Consider the following 22229-nt stretch of genomic DNA (forward strand, 5'->3'; position numbering starts at 1 on the left):
AGGCAGGGGAGCTGGGTAGGGTCTTTTAGCTCATGAGCACGTGAGTGGTCATGGGCACATACAGTGTCTTGGCCTATCACATCTTGCTACCATCCTTGCATCCAGCGTTGTGACTGATGTGCATGATGTAGAGTGAGGCAGCCCTGATTTTCTCTGCAGATGACACATCTGAGACACAGTGATATGCTGTAGTTTGCCCAGGCTCACCATGCTCAGAAAAGGTGGAGCCTCGGTTTGAACTGTGATTTGAGTCAAAGCTTCCTAGATCACGCTAAATTTAGAGAGACATAAGATGTAAGTCCTCATTCCAGGAAGTGATTTCCATTAGTATCTCTTTCCTGCTCCTGTAAGACTATGCTTGGGATGTCTACCTGGTGCAACTCTGCTTTTGAAGCTTTTCTCTACCAATCTCTGGTTGCAAGCAAGAGATGTGTACAACTCTAGGGCTGTCTATGGGCAGGGTGTAGAAAAGGGCTAATTATGCCCATTCCTAAGACTCTTAGGAGAAGAAGTGGGTCTGGCATGGGGCAGCGGCTAGCTCTGTAGGAAGAATTGTCAGGGCCTGGCACCCATGAGCTGGGATGGCACACTTGAGAAAGAAGGAAGTTCTGTAGCTTGGACTGTAGTAATGGAAACAAAGGATGACAGAGAGAATGACAAGAAGGCAGACATCCAAAGGAATAAGCAAAGGGGAGGGTGTAGTTACATAATGTTGAGGCCAGGGTGTGGTGAGTGTGTGACATCTATGGCCTTGAGCTTCTGATGTCCGTGTGTATATGTTAACATGGTTTGGATGAAAATAAATGTAAAGGAAAGGAGTGATTGATGAATATCCCACACCCCAGGATTTGATATGAGATTAATGGAACATGCATGGCAGAAGTGCAAACTTTCTCTCTTGGTATTCTCCCCACCTGCCCTCATTCTTCTAATAGGTCAAACTTTTTTATGCAACAAAGCAAATTAGCGCATTGGTGACCAGACTCAGGAATGAATTACTATGGTGAATCTCTTTTTGCCCAAAATGAGTGTTATGAAAATCAATCAGGAACAGTGTTAGTTTATAAGGACTCAGAAAAAGGCTGTTCTAATCTCCTCTCCAATCATAAATTTACTTTAACATGTTTGCCAAAGTCAACTAACAATACTATTCTTCTCTGTAAGCCCATGCTTTAAAAACATAAGGGGTTCTTTTCTTTTCTTTTCTTTTCTTTTGGGGCTGGGACCCGGTACATTTTAAGTGTTCACATGGGATTTTACACAGGTATTTGAGCATTAACTCTCTTACCAGTTAATGATAGTGCTTTGAAAAAATATCAACCTGTCACAATCTGCACTGAAAACAAAGTAGCTCAGCTACAAGAATAGAATGAAAAACATTTCACAGCATTTTCAGTGACTATAACCACATCTAGTCCTCTCTGTTTGTAGTGATCTTCAAGGACTCCTGAGCCTTTAAGATCAATTTTTAAAAGGAATACATTTCCAAGTAAAACAGTTCAATATAATTTTTTTTTCTCTAACATCCTAGAAATCTTTATTAGAGTTGCATTTCTCAAAACTGGACTTATATTGTTTTCTGAGGAGTTGCTCATAACTCCAGATTTCTTTTTATTGTAATGAACTGGCCATACCTTCCAGCTCCCTGCAGCCAAGTTCTGCAGGGCGCCTGCCGCCCCTTCCAGCGTGTCTGGATTTGAGCACTCAGAGAGCAGTGTGAGGTAGGGTTTGACTATTGATGGGTGCCACAGCATCTGGATCCCTTTTGGTGGTTCAGCACAGTCTGGAAGAGGTCCTACTCCATCCCACTGGCGGAAGAAAAACAAGAGAGCAAACATCTTTAACATCTTTATGCTTCCCAACTTTGCCTTCCTCAAACATTACAGGCGAAAACAAAAGCAGAGTGCTATCACATTTGCTGAACATAGACTGCACGGAGGCTATTGCATCAGCAGTCCAGGGATCACTAAAAGTGGAAGCCATTCCTGCCCAGCGAGAGCTTGGGATCGAGGGTGGAGGGTGGGTTGGTGTATGCACGCAAGAGAATGTAACTGGCAGAAGAAGTGGATAAGCTCTCCAAGAACGACTCTAACATGTTGCTGTAGGAAGGAAGGGGAAGAGATGAATTAATTTTGATTGAGCAGTTTGGAAGAAGGATAAAGATCAAGGTAGCATATTTTATAGTAAGCATACTACCAGTGTTGCATAATAGTTACCAACAACAAATGCCCTCACTTCTTATGCATCATTATTAATGTGATAAACTCCTATATAATTTGTTACATGTATACAAATTGGGTTCTATTGTTGCATCTAACAAATGACAGAATCGATAAAAGAGAGAAAACTGCTATAGTCTATTAGACACAATGACATGAGCTACAGGCAAATCTAGATCTTGGAGCAATCATGATAGTTAAGTTTGCTTTGAATTGAATCTAATGAATAATAGGATAATGTGTAATTCAAAATTAATTACCCATAATTTAGAAATTATGGCTTACACGCACAAAGGAATACCAGTCAACCATTAGGAATGATACTTATGAAGACTATGTAGCAACTTGGACAAATTATAACAATAAAAGTTAAATGAGCAAAGCAGGATGCAAAGTAGTATGGGATTTGCACATTATTCCAACTAAAATGCATCATAAAATACCTGTAATTATCATAAAAATTTACTAATACAATGTCTTTTTTTTCTACATTTCAAACTTCCTGTTCTATTACTCTTAACAATTTAAAAAACACTAAAAATTAAAATAATGATTCTGATCTTTGATTACACAAAGGCTTTGTCTTTTGTGAAAATAATGACTATAATAAAGTTAGAAATGAAAGATGCTATGCTTTTAGAAAAAAATACACATATTCAGTTCTGAGAAAAATCACAGTAAAATAAACAATTTCTTTATAATTTTAGTGTGAGAACATGAAGGTATTTAGCTTATTAGTGTTTATTAATGATTACTTAAAAATACAGTGTAAATGACATATGCTAAATGTACTTACAGATATTTTATGTACATACATATATGTGCATGTATATAAATGTGTGTGTGTATAAATATGAAAAACAAAACCATATTTCTGAATGTAAGTTCCTTAATTCTGAAAGTTTTACTGCAAGAAAATACATGCTTACTTTTTATCCTTGCAACATAAAAATAGAAAAGTAGACAGAGATGGCTGCTGTCACAAATAATTTCAAAAACTTCATTATTTATTTCTTGAAATAAGCTAAACTGCATGTCTTCTTTTCCTCAATAATGACACAGCTTAGTTTAAGTCAAGGGTAAAGCTCAGAGATGAATGACATCCCATTAAAGGTCATTTTCAATGAACATGTCACTCAATTTTAACTTTATAACAAGGACACTCAGTGTGGGAAGCTTCCTGTCCTTTTAACCAAAGCCACTTCCTAACTATTCAAAGATGACTTTGCACCTGTGAACTGCCTATCAATAAAACCAATACATCTCCTTTAAATTAAAAAAAGAAGGAAGTGAACTAGCCCCGTCACATTGCTCCTAGTTCATTATTTGATCCTGGCTTGCTGCACTGAATAGAAAGTGGGCACTAGAAAAAGACAGTAGTCATTCTGTAGGTTTGCCAGTTTCAATGACAAAGCAGTAGCAATATTGGCCTCTCAAAGGAGACCAGCTTGGGGTAGTGAATCTATCTGCTAGAGTAACAAGAAATGGCAAATTATTTCTTTTATTTCATTTTATATCTTGTCTCCTTAAAAATTTAAAGCAATTATTTTCATATAAAAATGGATAAAATTCAGAAAAATAAAAATGTGAAACTTCCAACTCAACATGGATAGATTTTCCTTTTATGTAAGAGCTAACCTAACAGCAAGAGGTACAGAGAAGTAATATTTGCATGCTCGTTACAAAAAAGAGGAAAAAGTAGCCATGTTATCTTTTGCTGGGTTTCATCTTGTTCTCCTTTTCTAACTTCTGTGCAATAAAGCAGGATAAATGGTTAAGTCCGTAGAAAATTTTCCTCAGGCTCTGACATGTCATCTATGTAGCTCTCAAATATCTTTTATTACAATCCTTTCTTAATGGCTACAGAGAGAATCTGAAGGAATAAAAGGACAACTGATGTGAACACAGATAATCTTTGATGGCAACTGGAGATGGAGTTCAAAGGGGATTCTTGGCTATTTTAGCACGTTGATATTGAAGAAAAAGGACTATTTCAAAGCCAGTAAATGTATCTGCCAGACCTTTATCTGGGTACTTTATTCAAACTTTTATTAAGTTAATAGGGAGAAAAGTATCATAAGTTAATAGGGGGAAAAGCCCATTAAAAATAGATTTCCATCAGCTGTAACATGACTGGACGTATTCTGTAAGACTTGGGTTAACATGCTTGATATTATTTTGTCTAGCTCATCAACATCAACAAGGTAGTAGGGCAATGGTGAAGTTAGGATCAGACTGATGTAGGTGAGACAATTCTGCACATGCAAACTTTTGAGGCTCGAATGTGAAGATTCAAGAAAAATCATGGGATATACAACTCTTGCACCAAAGTAGAAATACTTGATTTACAAATTTAAATATAAGGTGCTTCTATCCTAAAATATCTACAAAAATGGGACATTATCAGAAGGCAAGCAAGTGGCTTAATCTGTAACATAATTGAAGCAGTGACCACACAGTGATTCAGCCCTGAAGAACACAAGACTAAACTTACAAATCTTGTGCAAACTGTGTTCGTTTTGGACTATATCTTGAGAACCTACTACCAAAAACTCTTTAAGAGCTTGAAATATGCAAAGAATACATAAAGAAGTAAAATGTCATCAAGTCAGGAGAGAGAATTTTCTATATAATAAAGAGCACATGAAGACAAAGTATTTCCAGGACAGCAGTGGTGGCAATGCCAGAAAAGGACTTTTTATTATGTTATCTGCATGACGACCACATATGTGTGTGTGTGTGTGTGTGTGTGTGTGTGTGTGTGTTTACATCTTCACTCCTCAGGTTGCAGTTTAAAAATTAAGCAGAATAGAGAAAGTGAGAGAAATAGCACGAAGACAGAGGCATTTGTGGTTTTAAAAAAGCTTTTTTGCTGGGTTTCATCTTGTTCCAGCTTGGGGGAAATTTTCAATGAAAATATCCCTTCCTCCTCAGAATTTTACTCCTTATGTTTGAGAGTTACATAAATGTTCCACAATTCTGTGCAACATGTTAATTTTCATCTGTTATATTTTAACGAATAAAATTTGCAAAAGTTCTAGTATCCCTTGAGTCTTACAGATATTACTTCAATGTTCAAATTACACTTTGTGCAAGTCATTCACATGCTGTTGAACAGGAAAACAGACCAAAGGATATATCACTAGTGTAATACTGAACCTCCTCTTATGAATTGTCTTGTTCATAGAAATTTCTAATTTTACACACATATTTAGAGTTCATAAAGCTAAGGATTAAGGTGGCTATAACCAGAGTGTTTGAAAACTGAGTAATTGAGAATTAGAGCTCTGTTGGAGACAGGCTGGTAGCAAAGCAGTGAGTGTACATAGATCATAGAACAAACCAATAGATTGATTTTTTGCCACTCCAAATAGTGCTTCACCCAATAATGTATCAGCACTTTTCTTTACTGGCTTCAAATATACAACTGCATGACTAATATCCATAAAAAATCAGCCAACAGTTTCTGTCATTCCATTTCTAAAACTGTATAGAATTGAAAATATGTATTCTTTCATTAAGAAGGTAATGCTCAAAAATTTTTGGAAAAAAAAGAGGATATCAAGCTTCCCAAGATAGAAGGTTAAGGGACTGCTGAAATTTAGACATGATGCTTTTTGATATGGTCACCATCGGCACAGAGCATACATAATGGCCCCTGTAAAAAAAGGTCTGCTTAGGAAGGAAATAACATATGCGTGGGGCTGTGCTCAATGTGTATGTTACAAAGAAAGAAAAGGAAAAAAGCCTTTCTTTGGATTTGCTTTAAATACTTTTGCTTCCATGCAGGGCTTAAATTCTATTTAAAAGATTTTTTTTTTTTTTTTTTTTTTTTTTTTTGAGACAGAGTCTCACTCTGTCACCCAGGCTGGAGTGCAGTGGCACAATCTTGGCTCACTGCAACCTCTGCCTCCTGGGTTGGAGCAATTCTCCTGCCTCAGCCTCCTGAGTAGCTGGGATTACAGGTGTGCTCCATCACACCCAGCTAATTTTTGTATTTTTAGTAGAGACGGGGTTTCGCCATGTTGGCCTGGCTGGTCTTGAACTCCTGACCTCAAGTGATCCACCCACCTCGGCCTCCCAGAGTGCTGGGATTACAGGCATGAGCCACCGCACCCGGTCTATTTAAAAGAGTTCTATCTCAGTTGGGTTTGAGAATGAAAGAGTGGAAGCCATTTGCTCCTTATATGAAGAGAAAGACGTAACTTAGGGATAAAAACCTGAAAGTAGGCTGGGCACAGTGGCTCATGCCCATAATCCGAGCACTTTGGGAGGCTGAGGCAGGCAGATCGCTTGAGGTCAGGAGTTTGAGACCAGCCTGGCCAACGTGGTGAAACCCCACCTCTACAAAAATACAAAAATCAGCTGGGTGTGGTGGCGCACACCTGTAATTCCAGCTACTCAGGAGACTGAGGCAGGAGAATCACTTGAATCCAGGAGGTGGAGTTTGCAGTGGGCCAAGATGGCGCCATTGCACTCCAGCCTGTGTGACAGAGCAAGACTGTCTCAAAAGCAAAAAACAAAACAAAAAAACCCCTGAAAGTAAAGATGTCAACATACTATATTAAAAAAAAAAAAGACTTTGTAAACATGGGGTTCTTTAAGTTATAGAGAGTCACAGGAGTACTCTAATTATCACATTCATAAAAGCCCCCTAATGAATGAGAAGAATTACAGGACAATTTACAAGACTCTTCTCTGTGAGCCATCCTGCAACTGCCCTAGTCTCTGATCTCCAATGCACTGGGCTGGGTACTGAGGAGACACCAACAAGGAGCAGTCAGGGAGTATGGAGAAGGATTTCCATTTCAGGAGAAGTGCTAAAATACACAGCTCCTCTTTCCACCTGTCACAGGCTTCATACAGTCTCCGCCAATCAAGTTTGTGTGCAGAAAAGACCTTTTACTGCTGAGTCGTATCTTCAGAACATAAACAGAAAAGGCTGGCTTCACCAGCGGAATGCACCTCTATCACCTAGATTTCTCTACTAATTAGGGAGCATCACAGTCATTACATATGTGCAGGCTCACTTTCATTTTTTAAGATATTTCAGTGAAATAAACAACAGACCAGAGATGCTGCAAGATAAAGGTAGCAGATCTGCAGCATCAGGGAAACATTCTGATTTTAAGATCCCACTCTTTCCTCTCAGGGGAAGTCACACATTGCAAAATGTAGGAAGAGAAGATGGCTCTAAGTAGGTAAACTGTCAGAGAATGTTCTCTCAAGCAGGGTTTGGTTTAATTAAGCTGCAGCCAGCACTATGTACTTTAAAAAGCAACAATAAAAACCCAAGTCCATCCACCGTCTGCCACTCTTGCTTGGCTTGCTTTGAACAGCAGAGTTATTACATAATTTGCCTTTACAGTGTTTCATGGCCACTTCCAGCTTTTGGGGGGTTAAAGGTGGAAGGATAGAGGTGATGGGTATTCAAAAACTCCAGTTAACTGTAAAAAGCCAGCGAGAAATGATTCTTTGTGTTGATTCTTAGGAATTTCAAAGAAAACGGTAGTGCGGGTGTCTGAATCCCCCAGGAGCTGTTCAGAAGACTTCGGCTGCAGCTGAGGCTGAGGCTGTGCAAAGAGGGGATAGAGTTGATGGCTAATTAGCTGTATTTATGTGGCACTGCATTGTCTCCAGGCTCTCCTTGCAAAAGACAGGAGGGACTTTGCATTTGAGAGATTAGAAACCCGCATTAAAGAGGCAGGATGAGGTGCTGTCTGAACAAAGCGTTAGGGCAAAAGAGATTCAGGAATAGCCTTGCTGATGCACCTCCTCCTGTGGGGGGCCACGGGGCCCGGTGAGCACACATCCCTCAGGAGTGAAGCTGGTGATGCTGCCTACTCCACAGACTGGCATCACGAGGCCGGCCACTGTGCTGTGCCCCACAGAAGACAGCTGTCAAGGCTGCTCCATATGACTGGGCCTGCCTGTCCCTTCCCAAAGTCACTGTGATGGAACCAACTGGGGCATCACTGATGCTCATCTAGAATTCTCTCTGCTCCTAATTTGCCATCCACATCTAGGGAAACCTGGGACATGGCCGTCCCTGTTACTGCCTTCTAAAGGGGCTTTGTCCCTGACGTGCCAACCTCCTTCAGATAATCCTGTGGTCTTGGTTTATATGTTTGGTAATATGTCCTTCGAAGGACAATCTAGTCCAATGGTCTCAACCAGGGCAATTTTAACACCCAGGGGGACAAGCGGCAATGTCTGGGGACATTTTTGGTTGTCATGGCTGTGGCAGAAGGTGCTACTGGCATCCAGTGGGTAGAGTCCAGGGAGGCTGGCAAATACCCTGCAATGCACAGGCCGGCTCCCTGGAACAGAGAGGTATGCTGCCCCACATGTGACCAGTGCCGAAGCCGAGAGGCCCTGGTGAAGTTGTAAAAGACAGTATTGATGGTGTGGAAGGCTGAGAGATAAAATACAATTAAGAAAACTAAACGAGACACCTGAAACAGAGTTTTAAGTCTATAAACTCACTGAAACTAAAATAGCAGCACTTTTAGGTGATGGGCTATATCTTCCACTAGAGGTGAGAAAGAAGTAGAAGAATATGGTTCATCCATGGATAATGGCAGACGAGAGTTGCTGCGCAAAAATGCACAGCCGTGATCTTTGCAGGCTCATGAGATATGTTGCTTCCAGGACATGAAATATCATGCCTTGAGTCAACAAGCTCCCAGCATATGGTGAGGTGAAGGCCGAGGGAGACTGTACTCGAACCAGCCAAGAGGAACGGGCGGCAGCTGAAAGAAGCAGATGGTTAGAAAGGAAATGATATTAAGCGGCAAAAGAAAGAGTATGGTTACTAATGAGAAAATGAAAACTGTCTGGAAGAAAAAGAAAAACAACCTGTGATATTAGGAAATGAAAGCCTAGGAGCATCCAAATGTCATGAGGAGCAGATGCATGAAGTGATAATAAAAAATCAAGTCCACGAACAGAAACTGTCACTGACATTTAGAGTGATTAAGATAAATTCTGGTTTGCGTATTGAGAGTCTTAAAAGCATGCATTTGGTCTAGCTATTTCACTTCTAAGAATGCACTCTCAAGAAGTGATTAAGGGGGTAGGTGAGATTTAACTACACAGATGTTCATTACAGTTTACATTAGTACAAACTTGGAAGCAACCTGATTTTCTAGGAATAGGGGATTGGTTCGCCACGTCATGGTATTCCTCTACCATGGAATTCACAGTAGCTCCTCCTCATTCCAGTGTGAAGAACTGCTTACTGGCAAGGAAAAAAGTCAGTCTGTGTCAAATGATAAGCTGTCATAAAGTGGTCAGCAAAGTGACATAGAGCAGACTTGTGCCTACACCTTCCCGCCCATCAGTGGTGTGCCAAAGTGGGCAGTGGGGGCTGTCACCTGGGGGCAGGTAATAAGAGGCTGCACTCTTTGCAGGGAATGTACAGGTAATGAAATGAATACAAGTTGGGTTTTTGTTCACTACCATGTGCAGACAATGCTACACGATTTCACTGGTAAGAGACTCCTCCTCACAAGGAGAGCCCCCTACTCACTGCACACCCTGAATGGGCCACTACATGCCTTTTTTTCTTTATTAAGAGAATGCCCAAGGTTCACCTAGGGTCATAGTTGTCACAAAAGACTACAATCCCCAGCCTCCCTCGCAGCTCTGGTGCCACTACGAGCCAGTCTAGGCCACAGGGATGTAACAGTGATGTGTGCAACTTCTGGGTGGGGTCCTAAAGGAAAGGATACTCCTGTCTTCTTTCCCCCATTTCTGCTCCTGAACTGTGGATGTGAAGAGCCAGAATCGTGACCATGGGGAGGAAGGCAGCACCCTGAAGATGAGAGCCCCATAAAATACAAGGAGCCCACCTCTGAAGACTCAAGAGACCGGAGTTCTACATCAGTGGAAATACACTTACTAACTATAAGACCTTATGAATTTTGCTGTCTGATATGGCCTCTAACAGAAAAACATCTGAAAGGATATATGCCCAGATGTAAGTTGTAACTATGAATCTCTCTAGAAGGAGGCACGCTGAAGGTGTGGGTATTATTTTCTTCTTGGAGGTTAGTGCTATTTTACTCACATATTATTTACATGTTAACTATGTAAATGTATACCTAGATATTTATCATTAATATCTACTTTGTCTGAAATGAGAAGAAACTGTTAAAGTTCAAATCTCCATTGTGGTCATTTTAACTACTAATAAAATTCATGTTTGTGCTTTGGGATATGCATGCTGTTTATTTAGCCCTAGAGTCTCACTTTTGGGTCAAGAGCATCCGAATGACATAGCAGGCAACGTGTGAGGCTCTTGAAGAAGTGGTGGCCAATACCGATATCCTGAAAATCCAAGAAAACCTTGTAGGTGGTGGGATTTCATGATTTCTCATAACACCTTCAGTGCAAAGAATTTGTTTAGTCTGGCAGGATCAAAAGTCCTGCTTCTCCAGGGATACTTTTTGACACATACACATATACCTTTGTTGCATATAAACTTAAGTTCTTAGATGATAACAGTAATTTAGATGGTGCATTTGTTTTGGTGGTGATTGCAGATTCAGAATACTGACTAACAGTGAGATAAATGCAGCACTGTCATGAGAGGCTGGGGAACAGCTCAAAACACAGGGAGGGAAGACTGCGGAAGACGCTTGGCTCACAGCAGCCCTTGGGGCAAAGTCTCACCAGGAAAGAAACAGATGAGTCTGGGAAAAGTCACAGCTATGAGCATCCACCCACAATTAAACCCACAGCAAGAGCTAGGGGCCACCATAGGCCACAGTGTAATTGGGGCCAGGCATTGGGCTAGAAGTCACAGACCGAAATAAGACCCACAGAGTCCTTTGCCCCAGAAAATTCGCTCTCTTTGGGGATCAATTGCTATACTTAACCCATAATATGATAATAACTAGCAGAGAAGTTTAAATAAAATTATGGAGAAGTAGATTAGGGAGTAATTGTTTACTTGAAAGAAGTCTTGGAAAGATAGAGGGGATGTTTTATTTGCTCTTGAATGATTATTCTCCAAGTAGTGAGTGGGGAAAGGGAGGGCCAGGCAGTGGAACAGCATGAACAGAAGCGTAGAGGCTGGTCTGCGGGATCCTAAGACAGGCCAGGAAAGAGTGCGGGCAAGAAGCCTTGAAAGTTCTTCCAAGACATCTCTTTCATTGTGGGAAAAATAAGGGGGCATTGAAGTTTTACACAGAGGCCCATTCCTACTGCTTTTATGCATAAAACAGCACCGTGTATATCACAGGTGAATCTTCCAGTCATTTATGCATTTGGCATCTACAACTTAACAAAGAGGTGAAAAAGAGCAAAAATATTTACTGTTAAATTGACTACAGTGCACTCAGTTGTGAAACAAAGATGATCATGAAAGAAGACCTACCAGATAAAAATAGTGGATCAGAATCCTGTTTGAATTGATAGGTTTGTCTCCTCACCCATGCAGACAGACATATATTTTTTACCCATTTAAATTAAATAACTTTAAATTGATTTATAAGCTAAAAAGGGAGGTTTTGGATTCCATCAGGTCCTGCTTATTTAGTTTTTGTTTTTCTCAGTGGCCCTCTGCCCATGGTCAATCTCACACCAACAGCGCCTTGAAGAAGGTCTGACCTGACCAGCAGCTGGTGGAGGACAATGTCCCGTCACCTCCAAACCACGCTGAAACAGTACCCACCTCAGGACACCATCACAGGATCGTTGGCCATAGACCAAGGTGAAAACAAACCAAAAAATGCTGATTGCTACAAAAGGTGCAAAAAGTAAATGAATCCATTTTGTCTCCTCCTATTTCCCTGGACCCCAATCTTCGGATTCCCTCCACCAACCATGCAGTGACAGTCTGCTGTCATAAAGCCCTGCTGAGGGCAGAGAGGGTCCTTCTGGGGGAGACGCGCCTTCTTGGCAGATGACATGCTGACTGTTTCATGGGAGGTTTTGTCCAAAACGGACTAGAGAAACTAGCAATTCCTTAGAACTCAGCAACAGGCACACAGCAGATGCAAAAATGGATGAGTTTGCAAGGACCTCTTAGACCAGAAAGTGATGCATAGAGTGTCAAACACTTCTGCACACAGGAGCTCGTAGTCTGGTGCTTCTAGACTAGAATGGCCTAGAAGTCTGATACTTCTAGTATGGTTCAATAGCAACCATTTCTTGAACTAACAGCATGCATGCATCATATTTTTGTATCATATATTTTCTAGAATTATCCCTACAGGGATTTTTTTTTAAAGTTTCTGAGATTTTTCTTATAGCTAAATTTGACATGCAGAATATTATAGTGTCTTTTTAAGGTCAAGAACACCAATGCCAAAGGTAAGGGTCAACATAAATTTCTGGACTAGAAAAAGTTCTAGAGGCCATCATTAAACCAATTATTATTTGTATCACTTTTACTCCTGTTATAATATTTGGCTCCTCTGTCCTGGAAGGTCTGTGTTGTAGACTAGATAACCTTTCATTTTACATAATGTCTTACACCTTTCAGTGAGGTATAAATTTCTCTGAAAAAAACCATACACTTTTATAAGCATACATTAACTTAGTGCCTTTATGAACATTATTTTTTAAAGGCCATTTGCAAAGATTACAAATGTAATTTTCATTGTAGAAGATTTATAAATACAGAAGTACAAAAGGAATCAATCATTATCTTCTCTTGGATCTTACTCTGCTTTTTCAAGAAACACATATATTTTGTACAGGCAAATAGCATTTTGTATTTGCATATGACATATTATACAAAACTGGCCAGATTGTATCTGTATCATCTATACCTATATCTATGTACGCACCTGTTTTTATATTGCTTTTTTTCACTTTACTTGTGAAACTCTCTGTAAGCTCCTTGATGAGATAAATCAGTTTCCAGGCCCTGAAGTTAACCGCTGTTCCAGTGTTAGCAAAGGTGGGGATGCTTTGTCCTCCCATCGCTCCCTGTCCTGGTGGGGCCTGTGGTGAGGGGTTTGGTCTCTCATGGGCTCCCCAAGACAGGAGCAGAGACTGTTCTGATGCATCAGGGTTGTGAGTTGCTGCCTAGCGGCCTTCGTTTTGCTGCAGGGGAACCTACTTCCCGCTGCAGCAGGTGAGGGCCATTCTGTTCTCAAGAGGCCTCCAGCTCCAGCTCAACATTGTTCTGAATTCACCTGAATTGTTCCCCACGGCCAAGCTTCTAATGCCATCCTGTGGAAGGGCTGTGAATTCTCTGTTACCCCATTTCCAATGGAAAGTGTGAGACTGAAAATCTAAATGCTTCGAAACCAGCGATTAAATACATGATGGATCTTTGGCCTCCCTCTGTCTCTCTCTGTTTCCCTTCTTATACCACATCTCCTGTTCCACCCATCCCTGTCACCTGGATGGCATCAAATCCAGCTCCGACAATGCCCTAAGTAAATGTGTGAATTAACACAGCGCCTGCTCAGAGGTGGAATGTCAGAGCTTGCTAGGGCCTCAGGTGTCTTTTTTTCTTTTTTAAGTAATTTCCTATCCTGGCTCAACTGCGAGACGTGAGGGAAATCATTTCATGTCCCACCGTCTCAGCTGTGAAATTCCCACAGGAAAATTGTGCAGATGCATTAGTGATTTTACCTCCTGATGAAAATGCAGGGCTCATTCTCTATATATTGAGGATATATTACAGTTGCAATTAGGAAGGGGATAATTGCATGCAGCTGCAAGCAGCCTGCATCACCTGATCTTGGGATTTCTTTTTCTTCTTCTTCTTGCCCCAGCACCCAGAGCTCTCAGCATCCTTGCCATTGGCCTCGCCACAGAGTAGCCCGTCCAGCTCGTCCGTGCCCATGTGCTGTCCCTGAGACGTTTCTGCCGCCAGCCGGTACGAGAGGTTCCTTAAAATGCACACACAGTTTTCAACGGTCTGCAGAAAAGGGGGAAACAGAGGAAAGAATGAGTAAAACTAGCACTCAGCACTCCATTCTTCCACCTGGAAAGGCCTCTTTCTCCATGGACACATTTCTCTTTGGAAGTGTTTAGCTGCCAGCTTCTGAAAGCTCCCCTGATGGCCACAGTGGAAAACAATTGGAGAAACTTAGAAAGGTCTTAGGACCTTTTATCCCCCACAAATAAATGACTTATCAGCAATAGTTACTTCTATAAACATCTGTTATTGTTGATTGAAATTCACTTGTGAGAAGGGAAGAATGTACAACCACGAGAGATCCCAAATATCATCCACTAACAGACAGCGCCCCACCTCTGACTCCCTGGCTGGGGATTGGGGATCGGGTAATGAGGAATCAAAGACTTAGAATTTCGGTCAGCTCTGGTGGGGGGCATATTTACTGCCCACCGGAGCATTTTCCGAGTGTCAAGGAGGCTACAGGTGCAAACCAGGGTTGTCCCAGGAAAGTGAGGGGCTGTGATCACCTGGGGTGCATAAATATTTTTAGTCTACATTTTTTTGAGATGCCTGACACTCATGTTTTCTTAGCCAAAAGGTTAAACAGTGGTTAAGGACACATGTTGTGGAGCCAGACACCTGTAGAACCCTAGGTGTCCGATTTAGCTGTGGGACTTTGGACAATGCACTTGACATCTCTGGGACATGGTGTACCCCTCTGTAAAATGGTCATAACAGGTCCCACATCTTAGGTTCTTGTGCATTAGTTGAGCTAAAACATGTGTGTGGTACGCAGAATAATGGCCCTCCCAGAAGGTCTACATTTTTTTTTTTTTTTTGAGACGGAGTCTCGCTTTGTCGCCCAGGCTGGAGTGCAGTGGCGCGATCTCGGCTCACTGCAAGCTCCGCCTCCCAGGTTCAGACCATTCTCCTGCCTCAGCCTCCCAAGTAGCTGGGACTACAGGCACCCGCCACTACGCCCAGCTAATTTTTTTTTGTATTTTTAGTAGAGATGGGGTTTCACTGTGTTAGCCAGGATGGTCTCGATCTCCTGACTTTGTGATCCACTTGCTTAGGCCTCCCAAAGTGCTGGGATTACAGTCGTGAGCCACCGCACCCAGCAGGTCTACATCTTAATCTCTGGAACCTGCGCGTATGTTAGGTCACGTGGCTGGCAGGAGGTGGGAATTGTTAAGCTAATCAGCTGCTTGTCAGATGGGGAGGTTATCTGGATTGTTCGGGTGGGCCTGTGTCCTCACAAGGGGCCTGTACGTCAAAGAGGAAGTCAGGAGAGTCACAGTGATGTGATGTGAGAAGGACATGGCTGACCATGGCCGGATCTGAAGATGGTGGAAGGGGCCACAAGCCGAGGTATGTGGGCAGGGTCTAGATGCTGGAATAGGGAAGGGAACAAATTCTCCCCAAGAGCCTCAAGAAGGTAAGCCTCAGACCTTACCACATTTTAATTTTATCCCAGTGAGACCCACTTCAGACTGCTGGTCTCTAGAGCTATAAGATCATAAATGTGTGTTGGGTTCAGCCACCAAGTTTGTGGTCATTGGTTATGACAGCAACAGGAAAGTAACACAGCGTGCAAGTACTGGGAAGAAAGCTGGGGCACAGTAAATGCTCTTCAAATGTTCATATCATTAACAGTGGCAGGAGATGGCACAGTGCGGAGCTCCAGAGGATGGGATCTAGGGCTAGCCGGCTTGGCTTCCAATCCTGGGCCTACCATTTCACAAGCTGTGGGGCCTTGGGCAAAGTGCTTAATCTTTCTGTACTTCTATTTCCTCATTTGTAAAGGGAGGGTCATATTAACAGTATCATGTACAGGCTGGGCGCGGTGGCTCATGCCTGTAATCCCAGCACTTTGGGAGGCCGAGGTGGGTGGATCATGAGGTCAGGAGATTGAGATCATCCTGGCTAACAAGGTGAAACCCCGTCTCTACTAAAAATTCAAAAATTAGCCAAGCATGGTGGCGGGCACCTGTAGTCCCAGCTACTCAGGAGGCTAAGGCAGGAGAATGGTGTGAACCCGGAAAGCGGAGCTTGCAGTGAGCCAAGATTGCGCCACTGCACTCCAGCCTGGGCAACACAGTGAGACTCCATCTCAAAAAGAAAAACAAAAAAACAAGCAAAAAAAACACCAGTATCATGTACAGAGCCACAGTGAGGGTTAATAAGCTCACAGATACAGCTCTTTGAATAGTGTCTGCTCAAAACTATTTGCTAAAATACTAGTTGTAATAACTTCTGATTGTTGAGAAGAGGGGTGAGCAAACTGCCGCCCAGGGGTCCGATCCAGCCCACAGCCGGTTGTGCATAATTGGTGTTTTCCTGGAGGACACCCAGGCCCATTTGTTTATGAATGGTCTGTAGCTGCTTTCATGGTACAATGCAGAATTACATGGCTGTGACTGAGACAGTATGGCCCGCAACACCGGGAATATTTATTCTCTGACCTTTTGCAGAAAACGTTTGCTGGTTAAGACAAAGCTGACCTTTTGACTACAGGAACCATGGAAAGCGGAGAAAAATATCCAATTTTAGAAGGGGTGAAACAATGATGGAAAAAAAAATAAACTGAGCCAAGTTTTATTTGAAGAATCTTACCAAGCTGGCTATCATTTTTTCAGGCACCTGCTACGTAACAGCCACTGTGATGGCACATAATACAATTCCATTGTATGGGTGAAAGGAGGACAGCTAAAGCTGTGAGTACCTCCCACCAGACTGAGCTGCTTCTCTGCAGTCCTGGGGTGGGACTGGAATGGGCAGGGGCTGCTGGGATCACAATCCTGCACTGCTTCCCTCCACTGGCTGGAATCTGGTGAAAGGTAGCAGGTGCCCTGTACTTATTACCGAGGGCATGAAAACTTACGAGGAAAACCAGTTTTCAGGAAATATCTCTGGAGCCTTTGTCATTCCAGACCTTTCTTGTCAGCTTTTCAAGGTGTCATGGGCTGCTAATCCCACAGGCTCTGAGTCAACCTGATTTTCTATTCCAAGCATCCTCTGCATCAAAAAGTGGACTGGCACGAAAGCAGGTAAACTCAGGGCGATGCATGAAAGAGAGAAACGACTCTCATTGAAAGGAAAATGTTATGGCATAAGTCAGAATGATCTTTAAATCAGCTCAAACTTATTTTTCTTACATCAAAGACTTGGGAGAATAAACTTCTTTCTCATCCCACTGTTCGTCTTCCCTGGAGGCATCACTGTTCCTCTGTTTAACAAATGACTCCTGGGGAATAAATCTGCAGTTGGGAAAAATGCTTTATAATCGAGCTGCAGCTGGGGAGATGATTTGGGAAGAAGCTAGAAGAAGAAGAGAAAGTAGGGATGGGGGCGGATGGGGAGGGAGGAATGGGGGAAAGAAGATCACAGGGACCACATTTATCTGTCATTTAAGCCTCCAGGAGTTCTGCAGTCTGGGTTGGTTTGGGAGAGTTACTTAATTCAAGAGCTTTTCTCTAAGGGGATAAGGAGAAAGAGAAGACAAAAGACTTGGGATCCTAGCAGGAGGGTGGCAGCCGGTAGCTTTGCTTGGGACATCCATTGCTGTCAGCAGTGCTTTCAGCAGTTGCTTTTGGTTACCAGGGTCATTTTGATTCCTTATTTTCTATTAGAAAGGGTTAATCTGGAAGTTGTAGAGTGCTCCACTATATGTTATCCAGTCAACACACTGGCCCAATTATAGGACCAGAGTCACAAGCTTGTATGGAATCCACGCTCTTTTATGTATTAACTTCTCAGGCCTTAAAAAGAAGGTGTACTCATTCAAACCCCTCACCCTCAATTTGTCATTGTGAAAGCTCAAAAGCGGCCAAGCAGAGGGCTGAGTGGAAAATGATGGTACAATAATAATACATTAAAACCCAATAGCACAATCCAGCCAGTGAAGCACCTGCTGAGTAACATCACATCTGATCCTTTCAACAGCCTTGGCATTCAGCTATGATTATGCTCCTTGTCACAGAGTTGAGGTCAGTTGGATATGGTGCTCCAGCCAGTGGGAGGTGGAGATGGCACAGTCCACTGGCACTGTCTTGATGCCAGCTCAGGGCTCTTCTTACTCCACCAGGGATATCTGGGTTTTCTGACTCCAGCCCTGAATACTCCCAATTATTTCAACTTCCTCTTTTGGGGAAAATGTGGACATTAGAAAAGATGATCTACCAAGTCTCCCAGGTTTTAGGAATCTGGTCATCTGACAGAAAGAAGATGTTTGTGCCATGTTGGTTCTTGAACCATGGCTCCTGAAAGATGCCTTAATCTTTGGTGCTGGTGGCTGCACTTAGCCAAAGCATGAGGCTGTTGACTCTTATTTTATTTTCAGCTGTAAGGTCCAGCTAGTATCAAAGCTCTTTTCGTAGCCATCACAGTAAAAGGTATAGTCTCCCAGTGCCTCACTCACCACTCTGAATATGACGATGCTGAGCATTGCCGCTTCAGTGATTTACCTTCAGGAGCCCTTTGAAAACACACGTGTCTATTACGCTAACAAGCACTTGTAAATATTCAAGACATCTTGACTGGTCACTTGTTTAGGAATTTAATTTTCCTGTCGATGATACTAAATGGTCTAAAATGGTCACTTAAGGCCTTCTGTGAAAGGGGAATGCTTACTCTTTGTTACATTATGTTCATCTTTGAAACTAAAAACACACAGTCAGTGAATGGATGTGAACCTAACTGAGCAGAAGTTAAAAGATGACAAGTGGTGCTCATAATTGGGGTGAACTAGTACTCAAAGGGCTGACGTCCCAGAGGTACCTTGCATTCAGATCTCTGGGGAGTAAGGCTCAGGCATCAGTGATTTTCTAAATTTCTTGGTAACCCTAATATGTAGTCAGGGTTGAGAAGTGCTATGCTAACTTATACACACAGCCAATTAATGACTACATGGATAGAAACACTTTTATTTGTTCTTTATCTAACTTTGTAACTAAATTACATTTTACCAGATTCCCAATTAGAGAGTCATATTAAAGCTCTATCTACTATGGCAGGTTCTTAATCTAAGATGTACATCAAATTACCTGATGAACTTTTAAAGGTACACAAACTTGTGACCAGAGTTAGACAGTTGGGTTAGGAGGACTGCAATAGGGTCTGTGCAGATGTATTTACATGAACACTCCAAAGGCAATTCTAATAAAGAGTCAGAATGAAAACCATAGGATTAAGGTCACGGTTCATAACCAGGGCCAATTTTGCTCCCTGCAGGACATGTGGCAATGTCTGGAGACACTGTTGTTTGTTACTGGGGTGGGGATGGGGGCTGCTACTGGTATCCAGTGGGCGGAAGCCAGGGAGGTTGCTAAGCATCCTGCAATGCACAAGACAGTCACATGACAAAGAATAATTCACCCCAAAATGTCAATAAGGGTGGCTCTTGAGAAATCCTTATTAAGAAATCACATTTATTACCTGCATTACTTTATGACTATTGGTAAAGTTTGTGTTTATAACAGGATATTATGAAATTACAAACATATGAATGAATCAAACTTATTTAAGACTAAATAAAATAGCTCAAACACTGGAAAAGCCCACCCAATTCTATTCTGGCTTGTGAACTAAGACACTGAATAGACTTTGCTGATTTATTTTGTTGGGAAGCCCCATTTATTTAGCATTGTGACATTTATTTAGATCTTGCAGGCCTTTTAAAATGGCACTTAGTGTAATCAACAGTTGTTAAAAAGCAAGTTTATAAGAATATGGGATTATTCAAATCGCAAATCTGGGTGTGGTGGCTCATGCCTGTAATCCCAGCACTTTGGGAGTCTGAGGTGGGCGGATCACTTGAGGTCAGGTGTTTGAGACCAGCCTGGCCAATGTGGTAAAACCCGATCTCTACTAAAAATACAAAAAAATAGCCGGGTGTGGTGGTGCACGCCTGTAATCTTAGCTACTCAGGAGGCTGAAGCAGGAGAATCACTTGATCCCAGGAGGTGGAGGTTGCAGTGAGCCTTCATTGCACCACTGCACTCCTGGGTGACAGAGCCTGGGTGACAGAGCGAGACTCTGTCTCAAAAAATAAAAAAAAAAAGCAGGTAGTTTTAACATCTTGTCTTTTCTGTTGAAAGTGGATTACATTAAAAAAAAAAAACTAGAAGCTTGTGAGCAACGTGGTATTCAAGTTTATACACTCAACTGGAACACCTGTGGTTTGAGTAACTTAGAACAATCTGCATATTTACTCACAGCTAATCAGAAGTTAGGTTATATATCTAGATCCATGCTAGAATTAGAAGCCCAGTCTAAAAGTGTTGGATTCTTATAAGGAAACCAGGAGAGAGTTCAGAAGGAAAGTCTGAAATACTGCATTGGCTCTCCAGGGTTGTTAGCTATTGTTGAGTCCCGTGGGAGTCTTTATTCTCAAACATGTTTAATCTATGCCAGCACAACCAACCTTGCTATCGATCTCACTGCTCCCCAGCGCAGACTGGATCACGTACAGCAAGGCATCCGTAAGCCCATCACACTCTCTCATCCTTCTGCGGGCCTCCTCTCCGGCCGAACTAACATTCCTGCAAAGCAAAAGGACACGTCAGCGATCTTCACGGTTGTCACCAAAAGAATGTCTTTCCATGCCCAGCTGCTCTCATAGTTTGAAAGTAAATGCATTTTTCCCCACTTTTTCAGAATGCTTATCAAGAATATATCTTTAATGAAAAGGGATGGCTTCCACAAAACACATCCCAGAGTTGGGTAAGTCACAGATGTCTGTAATGCAACTCCTGGAATAGACAATGAAGAACTCCTAATACGGGATCTGTGAGTCCCATGACCGTGGAGGGTGGGGGACCTTCAGAAAGTCTTCTAGGTTTACTCCATGTACAATCAGAAGCTTTTTGATTCAAAGGATTCCTCTTTGAGAGGTCCGAAACACTTTCAAAGACAGAACTTGTAACTTCTGAAATATTTTAGACATCTAAATTTGTCTGCCACAAAAGATACCTACCTTGGCCCAGCCAGAAGTAGACTTCTAGGACTTCATTCTAAGGACATAGTTAGAGGTTTCTGTGACAATTTAGTCATTGGGATGTGCATGATACCTCTTATGAGAAGGGGCTGCTCCAAGCTCTTTTCTGTACTAGCACATGCTGAGCTAATGGCAACAGATGGGGTCTACTGTAATGAAATGTGTGGCTACGAAGCAGAGAGATCTTCTAGTCCTACAAGAGACAGAGATAATCCGAAGGAAAATCTTGGGGTGCTTTTAGTTACTCTACCACCTGAGCATATGTTGTTCTTCTCCTACCCACAGTTAGCATATGGTTCCAGTAGAGAATTTCTGCAATGACTTACTACAGACAACACAACCTGTAAAAGGGAGGCTGCAGGAGATGACTTAGTGGGTGGTACAAAGGGATTGAAAGAATTTAAGGACCTTGGGAACAGTGGTAGAAAAAGAAGGACGATTCTCAAACTTTGGGAGCATCGGAATCCTCTGGAGGTGTGTGCAGTACAGACTGCTGGCTCCATGCTGGAGTCTCTGACTCAGAATGTCTGGGGTAGAGTCAGATAACTTGCATATCCTTGGTGATGCTGATGTTGAGAACTCAGACCCCAGCTCTCTAGGGAGGGTCTGGCTGGGAGGAGGGTGGTGTTCTTTGCTGAGTGCTGGGGCAGCCATGAGGCAGATCCCAAGGATCAGTAAGCCTGGACGGAGTCTGGAGAAGTTGAATGAAATGAATCTCCAGCCCGCTATAATTGACCCAGGTAGTCTCATTTCATATTCACAACATCTTTTGCTGTTGTAATAAATTCTGTTTTACAGATGATAAAACCGAGCCTCAGAGGTTGTCCAAGGCCACACAGTAAGTGTGTCTCTGCTTCAGATGGCCAAGATACTGGAGATCAAACCCAGAGAGGACCAAGGAATGAGATTTTGAGGAATCAATCTATTTGCAATTAGCCTCCCCCTTCACACTCTCTTGGCTCTTTGAACCTCCTTTACTGATCACCATTGATTTTGTATTGGAATTATTTGGCTGTGACCTCATTACTGCACCGAGACTTTCTGGAGGGTAGAAGGCATGTCAGTCTTACGTCTCTACCTAGCATTCAGCTGAGGAGGAGCTGGAACAAAACCTGTGAAGATGGGAAAGAAAGGGCTTCAGGCCTGT

At 42.3% G+C, this 22229-nt stretch overlaps 1 protein-coding gene across 12 annotated transcripts in view; it reads right to left on the reverse strand.

Annotated features, from left to right (window-relative positions):
* The window catches only part of CTNND2 (catenin delta 2), a 932611-nt gene that overhangs the window by 125105 nt on the left and 785277 nt on the right, over positions 1–22229 (reverse strand). For all 12 annotated transcript variants that reach the window (NR_109988.2, XM_017009074.2, XM_017009072.2 and 9 more), the window contains 3 exons: positions 20510–20627; positions 13918–14103; positions 1635–1808 (listed from right to left, as the gene is read on the reverse strand). Coding sequence is in view for 11 of the 12 variants with exons in the window: in XM_017009074.2 (XP_016864563.1) it covers positions 1635–1808; positions 13918–14103; positions 20510–20627 (478 nt within the window). In the remaining variant the exon portion in view is untranslated. The remainder of the gene's footprint in view (positions 1–1634; positions 1809–13917; positions 14104–20509; positions 20628–22229) is intronic.

This window comes from Homo sapiens, chromosome 5, assembly GCF_000001405.40.
Source record: "Homo sapiens chromosome 5, GRCh38.p14 Primary Assembly".
Lineage (NCBI taxonomy): Eukaryota > Metazoa > Chordata > Mammalia > Primates > Hominidae > Homo > Homo sapiens.